At 42.7% G+C, this 14,143-nt stretch overlaps 1 protein-coding gene and 1 long non-coding RNA gene across 6 annotated transcripts in view, besides 3 other annotated features; one reads left to right on the forward strand and one right to left on the reverse strand.

Moving 5' to 3' along the window:
* ROCK2 (Rho associated coiled-coil containing protein kinase 2) overlaps positions 1 to 9,039 on the reverse strand; it is a 165,679-nt gene extending 156,640 nt beyond the window's left edge. For 3 of the 5 annotated variants that reach the window (NM_004850.5, XM_005246190.4, XM_017005378.3), the window contains exon 1: positions 7,598 to 8,238. In NM_004850.5, coding sequence (NP_004841.2) covers positions 7,598 to 7,738 — 141 coding nt within the window. In that variant the 5' untranslated portion in view covers positions 7,739 to 8,238. Of the gene's footprint in view, positions 1 to 7,597; positions 8,239 to 8,875 lie in introns of those variants that run through there. The other 2 variants (NM_001321643.2, XM_011510417.3) reach the window with 1 other exon arrangement.
* Positions 7,553 to 8,282: a silencer, noted in NCBI's record as "silent region_11172". NCBI's record gives its function as "represses an Ori minimal core promoter by ATAC-STARR-seq in GM12878 lymphoblastoid cells {active_cell/tissue: GM12878}" and the evidence as "EXISTENCE:reporter gene assay evidence [ECO:0000049][PMID:35858748]".
* Positions 8,423 to 8,492: a silencer, noted in NCBI's record as "silent region_11173". NCBI's record gives its function as "represses an Ori minimal core promoter by ATAC-STARR-seq in GM12878 lymphoblastoid cells {active_cell/tissue: GM12878}" and the evidence as "EXISTENCE:reporter gene assay evidence [ECO:0000049][PMID:35858748]".
* Positions 8,563 to 8,722: a silencer, noted in NCBI's record as "silent region_11174". NCBI's record gives its function as "represses an Ori minimal core promoter by ATAC-STARR-seq in GM12878 lymphoblastoid cells {active_cell/tissue: GM12878}" and the evidence as "EXISTENCE:reporter gene assay evidence [ECO:0000049][PMID:35858748]".
* Positions 9,114 to 12,890, forward strand: LOC124907733 (uncharacterized). The gene is made up of 2 exons (XR_007086216.1): positions 9,114 to 9,291; positions 12,659 to 12,890. It is a non-coding gene; the product is annotated as an uncharacterized LOC124907733 (long non-coding RNA).

Below are 14,143 nucleotides of genomic sequence, written 5' to 3' on the forward strand. Positions count from 1 at the left end.
GCCACCATGCCTGGCTAATTTTTTTATTTCTGTAGAGGCGACAAATCTCACCATGTTGCCCAGGCTGGTCTCAAACTTCTAGCCTCAAGCAATCCTCCCAACTCAGCCTCCCAAAGCACTGGTATTACAGGCATGAACCACTGTGCCCAGCCAAGAAATGACTTTTGAATTGAGCATGGGTTAAACAATAGAACCAGGACTGATGATCCGGTGTAGCTACTAAGGTGGTAGAAAAGCAAATTTAAAAGTCCAACTGTCAGTAAACTGACTTTTAACAAAGGTGCCAAAGCAATCCAATGAGAAAACTTAATTTTTTTAAAATGGTGCAGGATAGTCTGGATAACTGGATAATTATGTGGAGAAAAAAAATTAACTTCAACCCCTAACTCACACCACACATTAAATTTAGCTTAAAATGTATCCTAGACCTAAATGTAAAAGTCAACCATAAAGCTTTTGGAAAAAAGCAAAGGAGAATATCTTCACGACATGAGGATGGCGACAATTACTTGGGCAGAAAAGCAACAACCATTAAAAATTTTTATTAAAAAAAGAGATATGGGGCCAGGCATGGCGGCTTGTGCCTGTAATCCCAGCACTTTGGGAGGCCAAGGCGGGTGGATCACTTGAGGTCAGGAGTTGGAGACCAGCCTGGCCAACATGGTGAAACCCTGTCTCTACTATAAAAATACAATAATTAGCCGGGTGTGGTGGTGCATGCCTGTAATCCTAACTAATCAGGAGGCTGAGGAGGGAGAATCACTTAAACCCATGAGGTGGAGGTTACAGTGAACCGAGATTGTGCCACTGCACTCCAGCCTGGGCAACTCAGCAAGACTCTACCTCAGAAAAAAAAAAAAAGAGACAGAGAGAGAGATACACCATAAGCTAGGAAAAAACATTCACAAAACATTTATTTGACAAAGAGTGTTCTCTTTATATACAAAAGAACTTCTAAGATTCAATAATAAATACAAATAAATGACCCAATGTTTTTTAATGGGCAAAAATGGAGGTATGTTGCTTCAAACAGATGCTTCACAAAGGAAAATATATAAATGGCCCGTAAGTGCAAGAAAAAGTACATCATTCATCATGAGGGAAATGCAAATCATGCAAATCGAAATCACATTTTAAAGAGCAGTGTCGGGGAAGATGTGGAGCAACTGGAACTCTCATATACTGTTGGTGGGAGTATAAAATGGTATAACTACTTCATAAAAAGATCTGGCAGTTTCTTTTTTTTTTTTTGAGACAGAGTCTCACTCTTGTTGCCCAGGCTGGAGTGCAATGACCCAGTCTCAGCTCACTGCAACCTCCCACCTCCTGGGTTCAGGTGATTCTCTTGCCTCAGCCTCCCAAGCAGCTGGGATTACAGGTGCGTGCCACCACGCCTGGCTAATTTTTTTTTTCTTTTAATTTTTAGTAGAGATGGGGTTTCACCATGTTGATCAGGCTGGTCTCGAACTCCTGACCTCAAATGATCCACCCACCTCAGCCTCCCAAAGTGCTGAGATTACAGGCATGAGCCACCATGCCTGGCCATCAGTTTCTTAAAAAGTAAACACATATCTGCCCTATGAGTTAGCAATTCCACTACAAGGTATTTAATTTACCCAAAAGAAATGAAAACTTTCATAACAACTGTATTAAGAGCCAAAGTAGGCTGGGTGCAGTGGCTCAGGCCTCTAATCCAACGTTTTCAGGGGCTGAGGCTGGAGGATCACTTGAGGCCAGGAGTTTGAGACCAGCCTGGACAACACAGCAAGACCCCATTTCTGCAAAAATAAAATAAAATAAAAATTAGCCAATTACAGTGGCACAGGCCTGTAGTCCCTACTAGAGGGGCTAAGTTGGAAGGATCATTGAGACCAGGAGTTGAAGGTTATAGTGCGCTATGACTACACCACTGCATCCCAGCCTGAGCAAGAGAGCAAGATCTTGTCTCCATATTTTAAAAAAATCAAGCCAAAATATATAATACACTCAGCACTCTGTATCCATGAATCCAACCATGGATCAAAAATAATTTGGAAAAAAAATAAAAATTAAAAAATACAAACTAAAACAATACAGTATCGTATTAGGCATTGTAAGTAATCTAGAGATGACTTAAAGTATATGGAGGATATGCACAGATTACATGCAAATACTAATGCCATTTTATAAAAAGGACTGTGCGTCGTCGGATTTTGGTACGTAGGCAGACTATAAGGCAAGTATCCTGGAACCAATCCCCGGAGAACACCAAGGGACCAGTGTACATTCTGAAAACAAAAAACTGAAAACTAGTCCAGGTATGCATCAACACGAGATATCCAAGCAAACTGCAGTTTATACATATAACAGAAGACAATTCAACAATGAGAAAAAGGAATAAACTGCTGACACACACAATAACACAGATAACTCTCAGAAACAATGCTAAATTAAAGAAGCCAGACACAGAAAAGTATATACTATATGATTCCATTTTTATGAAGTATAGAAGAAGTCAAAGTAATCTTTACTGCAAAAAAAAAAAAAAATCAGAAGAATGACTGCCTCTAATAGAAGAAAATGGTGTGTGAAATTAGCTGAAAAGGTGTGAAGGAGATTTCTGAGTTGGTAATAATGGTCTGTATTTTTACAAGAATTTGCATTAAATAGGTGTGTGCATTTGTCAAAACTCACCAGCGGTACACTTCAGATCTGTGCATTTCATTGCATGCAAATTTAATCTTTAAAAAATCTAAACAAATATTGAACTCTTCTTAATTAAATACATACTGAAGTGTTTGAAGGTGAAGTATACTAATATCTCCAATTTACTTTAAGTGAACCAAAAATAAAAGATGTATTGATAGATGGATAAAGGAATGGACAGATAAAGAAAATACAGCAAATACAGCAAAATATTAATTATGCGGTAAATATATGGATGTTCACTGTCGATTTTTTCACCCTTACTATACTTCGAAATTTTCTATAATAACATCATGGGGAAAATTTTCAACTCTATCCATTATATTAAGTTGACTGAACATAGTATATCTTAAAATCCAGCAATTCCACTCCCAGATATATACCCTAATCTACAGGAATTATTCACGTGAGCTCCAGAAATGCTCCTAGCAACACTTTCCATAACAGAAAAAAAAAAACAAAAAAAAAAGAAAGAAAGAAAACTGTAAATATCCATTAAGTAGATCGGAGCTATACTGATTATCATAGCAGAGAATATGAATAACCCACAATGTTAGTGAATCTTAGAAACACCATTTTCAGTAAATAAAGCAAGTCATAAAAGAATACATAAAAATGCTGACATTTTATAAAGTTAAAAAAACAAGTAAAACTAAACAATATTGTTTAGAGATACACACAAATGTAGTAATCTATGAAATGAAGCAAAGGAACAATAAAATGTTCAGGGTAGCAGATGAGAGAGGATGCAGGAAGACTGAATCCAGCAGCGGCGACGGCACACAGGTAACTTCTACAGGCTAGTGTTCCACTTATTAACTTGTGTGGTGATTTCATGAATATGTTTTTACGCTTCGTAACTTATATTTGCATACTATATTTTTAGAATTCAAAATGGGAAAAAGAGGGCTATCTGATCAAGACTTGGGAAATAAAAAACAAAAAAGTTAGGTTTCAAGATAATTATCCACTATTTATTTACAGCTACTGAAGTGTATGTAAGTCCGTATTTCCTTACTTAGTCTACATTGGCCTTACCCTGGGACCAAAATGTTTCCGAACTCAGAATTTCTTGGATTTTAGAAAGGTACACAGTACATATACTGTGTACTCCCAAAAATGCTCTTGAAAATCTGGGCAACACCCTGAAATCAAATACATTCATATTCCTCCAGCAAAAGGCATTATTATTTACATCAAGAGGAATGACTAGACCACAAGTATTCTAATGTGAGATTAGGTCAGATGTTATCATCAAATACATTTTACCAAAAACTGGGTTTTTTATATATCAAAATTGTGGATAAGGGATTGCGGACCTGCACTTGCTTCACATCAACAGTAAGTTCCACACATCACCTTTTTTTTAAAACCTCCCTAGCTAACTCATTTTCTTTAAATATCTCCTATCAACATGAAAGTTTTAAAGTAAACTAGTCACAAATTTTACACTATAAATGCCAAACTCTTCATAAAGAAAAAAATGTATAAAATGATTTTTAATTTTTATTCTATTTCATTTTTATTGTATCTTTATAATGTTCTTACTTATTACATGATGGGAAAAATACACATACAATTTTATTTTAACTAGGCAAATAACCAGCAGCATGCTGAAAGAGTCTAAGCACTGAGATAATATTGTCAGATAGTTTACAAGTATAATGAAATCAATCAAATTATTTTATGTTTTATGCCACTGAAAATTGTAAACAAAGTTTTAATCACCTTTGCCCATCCACACAAGTCTTAAGTAAGAGTTTACCCAAGCGTGAGTCCTACAGGTTATTGTGACTGTTTACTCTTTGAAAGAGTAAAATAAATCAACACTCAAAAAGCACAGACCTTTAGAAAAATATCTCTTCAGCAAAGCCTGAAACACAGTTCTTTTTACCATAATAGGTAAGCAGTATGAGAAGCTGGTCTTGACAACAAAGCATAGGTATTTACCCAAAGGTTTCAAACACTACAAAAGCATATTACTGAAGACTCGCCTCCAAAAAAAAAAAGAGGCAGTAGAGAAGCAAAACTCTAAGTAATACTAAGCGGCTCACAATCTGCAACCATAAAAGAGATATACTCTTCTCAGATTAATTTAAGGACCCACATAAAGCCATGAGCCTTTGCAGAGAAACAAGATGTCATCTTTACACTGATTTAGTCTTGGAATCCAGCTCTACCTATGCCTAATGATTGCTAGCACTTTTCTGATGACAAATTCAAATGATAATGCTACTCACTCAAAATTATGTAGCAAGAAATAGTTGCAAATAAAACCATTTTCCTTTGAAAAGAAAATTTAAAGCAGTTAACTAATAACATGCTAAGTGTGCACAGGAGAAGTGAACTAAATTTAATGAGCACTGTGATGTACCAAGCACTAGGCTAAGCACTTTACACGTTATCTCATAAAACTTTGTTTCCTACAGAGTTTTACCTTCTAGGCCTAGCCCACTGAAAGCATCATACAATCATTTCTGGTGTACTTCATCTTCTTTTGTCATCTTAGGTATATACTATTTTTAATGGTACTTTCTGAGCTCCTGAATGTAGTGTCGCAGCTGTGTTTGCTTTAAATTATATTCCTTTAAATTTTCTGTTAAAGACAAAATATGTATTTCCCATGGCAAAACCAAAAAATAAATGTCATAGGCAGTAAAACAATGACCAATAGTGAAATGCAACCTAAATGCTAAGGTTTCAGATCTTTAAAGTGATACCAGCCATTATTTCGTCAGTATTTCAGGAAATATAATTTTTATAACATTCTTTTAAACATTAATTTACAGTTTCAGTTTGGAAAAATGAAAAGATTCCAGAGACGGATAGTGGTGATGGCTGCACAACAATGTGAATGTATTTAATGCCTGCCACTAACCTGTACACTTAAAAATGGTTAAAAATGGTAAATTCTGTATACGCTACCACAATAAAAAATCCATTCTAGTAGTTCATAAATAAAATACGCGTAATTTAAAATTAATTTATTATAAAAAAATTTTTAAATTTCGTTTATCAATTTGTAACAGAAACACCAGGAACCTTGCTCCAAAGGAATAAGGGACGCATTTTGGCTTGGAAAGGTTTACTGCACCTCAAGCATATTTAACCAACTAGAAACAGCAATAACAGAGTCTGTCAAGTCATCAGCACCTGATGTCAATTCTCAGATCCGTAATGTGCCACCTTAATAAAAGTGTGTTTTGGCTGTAATAACTGCTAAATGAATGAACTGTGTCCTGAACATGTGAGATGTTTCACTTTTAAAAATAGCCTCCATTTTAATAATTTGGAAAGCAATAAAACAAAATGCATGATCATATTACATGTATAAGCTACTTACATTCAAGCTCAGAATAACTCTAATAATTATGATTAATATCATTAAAGATCTAAGATATCAAAGTGAATTGCAAAACGTTTCCATCTAGGATTTAGCATGAACCTGATGAATACTTGAGATTTGCTGTACTATTTTTAACTAAACTTTCTGGCCTTAGGTCAAAGTTTTGCTAGCAAAATACCAAAGTGAAAATGCTGGGAGTGCAGCCCAGAGTCTCCGCTTTAGCCTAGGAAAAGCTATGCCATCCATGCAAGCAATCTTACTCCCGATTAAAGACTTTCAAAGACTGCTCCCATTAAAACATAGGAACAACACATTAACCCGAAAAACAGTAAAACATCAAACACATGTGACACAATATAGCACATCATTCATTACTTTCTGTACACTGTGCAGAAAGACACTATATAGCTAAAGTCAGTTCCTGCATTTTGACCAAACAGGACTGAGTCACTCTGCAAACGATGCCTGAAACCTCAAAGGATAACCAACCGCCTCTGACCAAAAGCCAGTCCGTCCGTCCCTGGAAAGGGAGGAGGCAGTTTTTCTCATCATACAGTAAGGTTTATTCCAGGAGGGAATAGAACTAAACATCTGCATTCCAGCACAGAATGTCTAACGGATCTAAGGACCTCCCACCCTAGTTCTAGTCTTCCAGAGTCAATTTAATACACAGAGTATCGTTTTCACCTTTCTTCCCCTCCCCAGGGTAAAAGTCCACACCCCCTTTTCCCATAAATGCATCTACACTGCACACTACTCAAATTGCGAAATACAATCATCTATCCTAACAAAAATAAGAAATAAGCCAGCATTCTACGGTGCATTTCTATTTTGTAAAACATGCTCCTTTCTTAACCAAGAGCCAATTAGCAGCCTTTACGGTGCTATTAATCTGGATTTCAAAGGTCGTTATAGGAAAGAGACGCAATGAAGAGGACAGATTTATTCCACTCCACAATTCAGACTGATTTTTTGGCTCTGGCGCAATAATCTCAGGGAATTAAATTTACAGCAATTAAAATGCACTAAATAGCAAGTATGGAATGCTCAAACGCAAGTGAAAACAGCAAAACTTTAGCTGTGTGTTCCAAGATTTCAGACTAAAAGGAGAGAGTGAGGGCGGCTCTTTGTCATGTACCCCAGTGAGTACTCGCAACAGGGACAGCATCAGGTTTCTTTCTCCCTCGCTCGCACCAAGTCCCCACGTAGCATGACACTTTCAAATCAGCTAACCTGGTGTATGAAGCATGGCCAGTCCTCCACCCACCTCCCCAGAGTGGGCAGGCGGAAGGAGAAGAGGGGTGTTTTCCTCCCAGTGCTGCAAGAAAGGAGCAGCCGGGGATGACACTGGCTCCAGCAGGAGGTAGAGGGAGGAATCAAAGGCGGGTCACTACTCTTGGAACTCGGTGACAGAATCGTTTGGTCTCCGGCCCCGGCTGCCGGAAGCAGGGCGGGGTGGGGCAAGACCTCCCCCTCCCCACGGGCGGACGGGCACGGAGGGCTGGGCGGAGAGGGGATCTGAGGTGTGAGCTGCAACGAGCAAGCTCCCAGGCCCCGGCCACCTACCAGCAAGCTCTCCACGTTGATGGGGGAGCGAGGGTCTCGGATCAGCGCCTCCAGCTTCCTCTGGCGGCTCGCGCCTGCCCCGTCCCCCGGCGCGGTCTCGGGGGCGCCGGGCATTTTCCCCGTCGGCGGGGGCCGGCTCATGCCGCCACCGCTGGACCCGCACTCAGGCTCCTCGCGCTCAGGTCCCGCAGCCTCGGGGCCTAGCACCGCCCCCGAACCACCAGCTCCGGCCGGGACTCCACCCGGGCCCACCGCCTGCCTCTAGCTCCGGCTTCGGGTCTCCAAGGCGGTCCCCCGCCTGGGGGCTGCTCCCAGGGGCCCGCCCGGCCCAGCCCGGCCCAGCCCGGCCCGGCCCTGCCGGGAGCGGCGGGGAACAGACGGCGTCCCCGCCCCTCAGTCAGATTCGCGCCGCCGGTCCGCTGGTCCTCAGCGAGTGCCCGCAGGAGTCCTCGGGCGGGAGCAGGGAAGTGGCGCCGCCACCGCCGCGGCCCGGACCGCCCCGCCCTCTGGGGCCCCGGGAGGCTGAAGCCCAGGCCTGGGCCACTACGGCCGCCGCCGGCCCGCTGCCATGGTCGCCGCCGGCCGCCTTGCAGTCCCTCAGCCAGCTCCCGGCGCACACACTCCCGCGCGGCCGCCCGTCTCCGGCCGCGCGCCGCCGCTACCCACAAGCCCCTCCGCCCGCAGCCGCCGGCGCGCGTCCCCGCCGGCCCTGCGCGCGCTCCGCCCCGCCCCGCCCCGCGCACCGCGCTTCCTCCCTTTCTTTCCCTTCCTGCGTCTGTCCCGCTCCGCTTTCTCCTCTGCGCCCCTTCCTCGCCCGCCCTCGCCTCCTCCCCCTGGCGAGGTTCTCTGAGGCGAATAGCCGGGCGCGCGGTCACGGCCGAGCTCCTGCTGGGGGAGGGGAGACGCACCCAGGCCGGGTCCTTCCGCGCGCCCCCTGCCCCTCCCGCCGGACCCCGCGGACTACCCCGCGGCCCCGAGGCGGAACCCCAGACGCCGGGCCCAGCGCACCGTGCGCTGGGGGGGAGCCCGGCCGCGCCCCCCGCCGCGGCCCCCGCTGACTCAGCGCGCAGCTATGCGGGCCTCGCCTCACCCGCGCCCAAATAATAGCGACCGAGCTCGGCGCCCGCGAGGGGCCGCAGGGCCGGGGGTTTCGAGGCGAGCCTGAGAGGGGGCCCTGGGTGTCTGGGATTCCGAATTAGCGGAGGCGGGTGGAATCCTAGTCCTGGGGCAGGAGGGCCTGGGATCCTGAAAGCGTTTCTGCCCGGCTTAGACACTAACCACTTCAAGAGAACGGGAGAGCACCGGAAAAAGGCTTTCCAGCCGCAGGCCTTCGCGGGGTCTTCTCCTTTTGGGGGGCGGAAGAGGGGTGGTTATCGGGACCGTTCCGCCGCATTCCTGCCCTCTCGGCGGCCGGTGCCATCGCTTAGATCCGCCCAGGGCGCAATCCGAAAATTATGTGCCAAGAGCTATAAAACCGTTCATAGAGCCCCTTTGACCCAGTAAACCCATTTAAGGAAGTACATTTCCAAGGAAATGATCCAAAGGGCGAAGAAGGGGGAGAACTTGCAGAAAGATGTTAACAGCAGGGCTATTCACAATGTTCGTGATGACCAAAACCTGGGAATGGGCCCAGTTGTCCAACAATTGAGTAACCCAAACAGGCGCCTTCACATTAACAGCAAGAATCCTGGCAGGTATGCAGACTGTGTCAAACATGAAATTTTGGCAAGTACATGAGAAGGTATATTAGAAATAAATGAAACAAAAAAAATCGTTTGTACACACTAAAACTATGTAAAATGAGCAGCTATAAGAACCAGAGAATACAGTACTTCTTAAATAAATGGGATTTTTTTCTGTAAAGATACTTAAGAACAAATTAAATTTCAAAAAATGGAAAAACCACTCCGAAAAGCAACAATCTGATATCCATTAAGTAATAAGAATGTTAAGAACTGTCTCCCTGGCATGTCAGAGATAAACCCGAAGATAGGGTGAAGCCCCAGCCCTGTAAAAGTTGCATTTTGATCCAAACCATTGGATTAGTTGGAGCCTCTTCTTTGGTTTTAGGTTAGTTAAAACCACCCCTAGCTGGACTCATGCAGGAAGAGGCCCCGATGATCCATCCAATGCAGCTTTTCCCTTTCAGATAGTAACACTGACTTCACATCCAGAGAGTCCTTTAAGTCTGTGTATTGAGCTACTCATTCAGACCTCCACAGAGGCCACCAGGAGAACAGAGGGAGCTAGACACTCCCACTTATGCATTGGAGCAAAATAATGAGATAATCTATGATTATGGATTATTTTTCTGATGACAAAATAATATGCAAGGCAAAAGGAGCACTCTGTCTAGCGGGGCGTGGTGGCCTGTGCCTGTAGTCCCAGCTCCCCCTGAGGCTGAGTTGGAGGCCTCCTCCATTGAGCCCAGGAGGCCAAGGCTGCAGTGAGCTGTGATCACACCGCTGCACTCCAGCCTGGGCAACAGAGTGAGATTGTCTCAAAAAAAAAAAAAAAAAAACACTGTGGTTCTCAGTTTCCAAATTAATTTTGACTGGTTGTATATTTGTATGTAGCTTGGTGGAATAACAGGAAGCCATGGTCCAAATACCGAACATGAAAACCTTATTTTAAGAGTAGTGATCAACAAGATATATATCCTGGGCATGTTCTACATATACTTATTTATATAGACCAGAAAAAGCCATGGTACAGAAGATTTTTACCCAAGACCTATCCCATTGTCTACCTGGAAGAAGAGAAAATGAATCTGTTGATATGAGTTAAACCTTTTTGCAGGATGGGGTAAGGGTAAGGAGGAGGTTAGTACAACAATTCTTGTTTTCAAAAGTAATGCACAAATGCATTCTTGTAAAAGTTCAAACGAACCAGAAATATATGGAACATAATCTAAAATTTACTGTTCTGACTATATTTCCACATACATTCTTATATCACTCAAGGCCTTTGGCCATTCTCATACATATGTATTATAGATACATGTTACCTTTTCCCCACAGACATGAAATTATACCATATCATGGTGTTTGGCAACTTGGTTTTTTCCCTTCATTACTAATATGTCCTAGAGGCGTGTCCATGTCTATAGGCAGAGATCTGCTTCATTCCGCTTACCTGCTGTCCTCTACTCCCCAGTTTGGATGTGCCACACTGTAATTATTCTCTATTCGAGAGCATAGTGGTTAAGAAACAATTGCCAAAATCCTGCCCCAAACACACACTTGCCATGTGACCCTGAGCAAGTTACCTAACTCCTCTGTGTCTCGGGGTCCTCACAATATTTGTTATAAAGTGCTTAGAAATGTGCTGGCCCTCAATCAATGCTAGATATTATTAATATTTTCTCACTGTTAAAATGATCCATTGACATCCTCGTATCCTCATATTTGAATAGTATAGATTCCTAAAAGTGGAATTGTCATAACAAAGGGTAGGCATACTGTAAATACAGATGCTGCCAACCTGTTATTTATTTATTTATTGGAGGCAGGTTTACATTCTGTCCTTCAGGCTGGAGTGCAGTGGCACGAGAGATCTTGGCTCACTGCAACCTCCACCTCTAGGGCTCCAGCAGTCCTCCCACTTCAGCCTCCTGAGTAGCTGGAACTGCAAGCACACAACACCATGCCTGGCTAATTTTTGTATTTTTTGTAGAGACAGGATTTTGCCTTGTTGCCCAGGCTGTTCTCTAAGTCCTGAGCTCAAGCGATCCACTCACCTCAGCCTCCCAAAGTGCTGGGATTACAGGGGTGAGTCACAGAGCCGGGCCTCAACCTGGCCTTTAAAAAGACGCTACCCGTTTACATTCTCAGCGTGAGTAGAAGAAACTGCCCATGTCCCTTCACCTTTCCCAGTATTCAATATTATATTTTTAATTGTTGTCAATAAAATGGGCAAAAAACGCCATCTTGTTCTGACTTGTATTCCCTTAATTACTACTGAAGATAGGCATTTTGTCTATCTATTTCTTCTGCAATTACCTGTTTATATCTTTTATCCATTAGTTTTGTCTCTTTTTATTATTTATAAGAGCTCCTTATGTATTTTGGATATTCCTTTTTGTTATATTATAATAGAATATATTAAAATATGTTACAGTTTGTGAAGATTTTTTTCCAGTCTGTTGCTTGTCATTCAGTTTTGTTTTTTACCTGTTATGCGGTCAAATCGGTTGATATTGTCCTCTACAGCTTCTGGGTTCTGTATCTGTGTTAAGGAGGATTTCCAACCCAGTTTTTAGGTCACACAGAATACTGGAATTGCAACAGGTTATGAGGAAATGGCAGTTTCCTAATATTCTCAGCTCAGCTCATCCCAAATTAGCTGTGGAAGGGGGTTCCCTGGGCTTGCTGGTCTCCAAGGGAACTCCTGCTGTGACTCCTGTTGCCACGCGACTCGGGCCAGGGTTGACTGCTCCTTTCTAACAGAGTCCCCAGTGTGTCCTGAGCACAGTTGAGACAGGCAGGAACTTGGACAGAAACTTTTGTTCAATAGTAAGGAAGAACAATGGAAAAATAAACACGGAAAATACAGGGCATTTAACCAGGCTGGCCTATCAATGGATAAGGCTTGGATTGCACCATAACTGTTCATAGCTTGCTCTGCAGAACTTAGAAACTCCACTCCGTTTCATATGAATTTCTTTTCTCTGTCTCTTCATTCCCAATGGTCTATTTGACATCCACTACCCAGCAATGCCTTCCTAGCCCTCCTGATGCTTCCTCACCCAGACTGAGGGTCCAGGCCTCCTTCTTTTCTCTGAGATCCATCTCCTCAAGTTTCAGTTTTTTATTTGAGGAATCTGCCTCTTCCTCAAGAATTAATTCACCTTTCAGATGCAACTTTACCCTCTCCACCCATAGCTAGTGCTGGAAAAGGACCATTTTTGTCTTTTGACCATGTGGCTTTTGTAATTACTCTTTTAATTATAACTATTATTTTAAGGACTAACTATGTGCTAGGCAGCACGCTTTATAGAGATTATCTTAATTCTTGAAACAGCCTTTTGCTTACGGTAATATTACTATGCCCATTTTACAGGTGATGTAATGAGGACTCATATATATGCACATGGAGTGAATAAATGAATTAAGGAATGGATGGGTGAAAACAACGAACTGTGAATGGTCCAGCCATCACCAATAAGACACGTAACAACTTTTCCCATCTCGCTTCACGCTGCCAGGCAACGCAGGCTGGCATTGTTGTAGTGAGTTGCTTCTGTTCCACACAAGCCAGGATTTAATAACAGAATAAAGGAATGAACTCGCAATACAAAGGTGTCATTATCTTTGTAAACTCCTCTACTATAAAGGGTACAGGGTTTAATGGTTTATGAAATAGAGTTTCATCCTAAGTTTCATTCATGGTTCTGGTAATAATTCCCAGAGTGAATGAGAAAATTGCCGAACCCCTCTGTGAGTCAGTTGCCTCATACACAAAATAGAATTAATGAAGCTTGGTTGTCATTAAGGCTTCTTAAGATCTGCAGATGAAAGATACTGCATTCATCCAACACAAATTATTCACCAGTATACTATGAAAGACTCTCAGAAGAGAAAGCTCTGGTCACAGCTCAGAAGTGCACTTAGAAGTAAATGGTAAGTCACTGCAAAAATATGTACCGTGTAAATGTATATATTTGAGAATGGTGGTCCCGAGAAATGACTTGGAGGATCCTGGAAAACTAAGTTTGTTTCTGGCTCTGCCAGTTTGGCAGGGGACCTTGATGTCATACCTGGCAATCTCATTTTCCCCATTAGTGAAATAGAAGTGGCTCTGTGATGCTTTATGTGATTTTCCTGCTCAAAAACTTTCACTGGGTCTCCTATGATTGTGCGTGAAATCCTCAGCCTGGAATCTGGTCTTTCTACAGATGTCAACACCTCCCTTTTCAGACTTTTCTTCCAGTGTTCCTCTTCTCTTTTTCTCAAAATGGAACACCCTTGGCTGATTCCTCTTTGGTTAAGACGATTTCCACCCATGTGGAACGGCACCTCTCTGCCCCTCTCCACCTGTGAAGTCCCTACTCATCCCTCATGGAGGCCCCTCTTCCTTGAGTGAAGGCTTGATTCTTACTGGGTTCTAGATCCCCTTTAGCCTTTAACAAAATATTTAGCAAAGTGCTTGCCTCACATGCATGAGAAGAACAATATTTCCATTTCCCTTTCAATGCTTTTCACATCCAAAACCTTGGGTCTGTTGTTAGTCCAGAGTAAATTAGTAATTTCCCATTATTAACCATGAAGAATACTTTTCTACTATTCCACTCTCCAAAAGCTTCAGTTCAGCAAAACTATAAACTGTGTAGGATGTATCATTCACAGAAGTAACCATGCCATTCCCACCTCTGTGCCTTTGCTGGTGCTGTCCCACCTTCCCTAGCCTCTCCTCAGTCCTCTCCCCTCATGACCCACCCTGGAAGGCATTCTTCTCTCAGGCCAGTTTCCTATCTCCTGCTTTCCTTCTACATTCAATTTGAGCATCGTGCTTGCGGGTTCTGTGGTAGATACAAAAGGAACTGAG

This window comes from Homo sapiens, chromosome 2, assembly GCF_000001405.40.
Source record: "Homo sapiens chromosome 2, GRCh38.p14 Primary Assembly".
Taxonomy (NCBI): domain Eukaryota; kingdom Metazoa; phylum Chordata; class Mammalia; order Primates; family Hominidae; genus Homo; species Homo sapiens.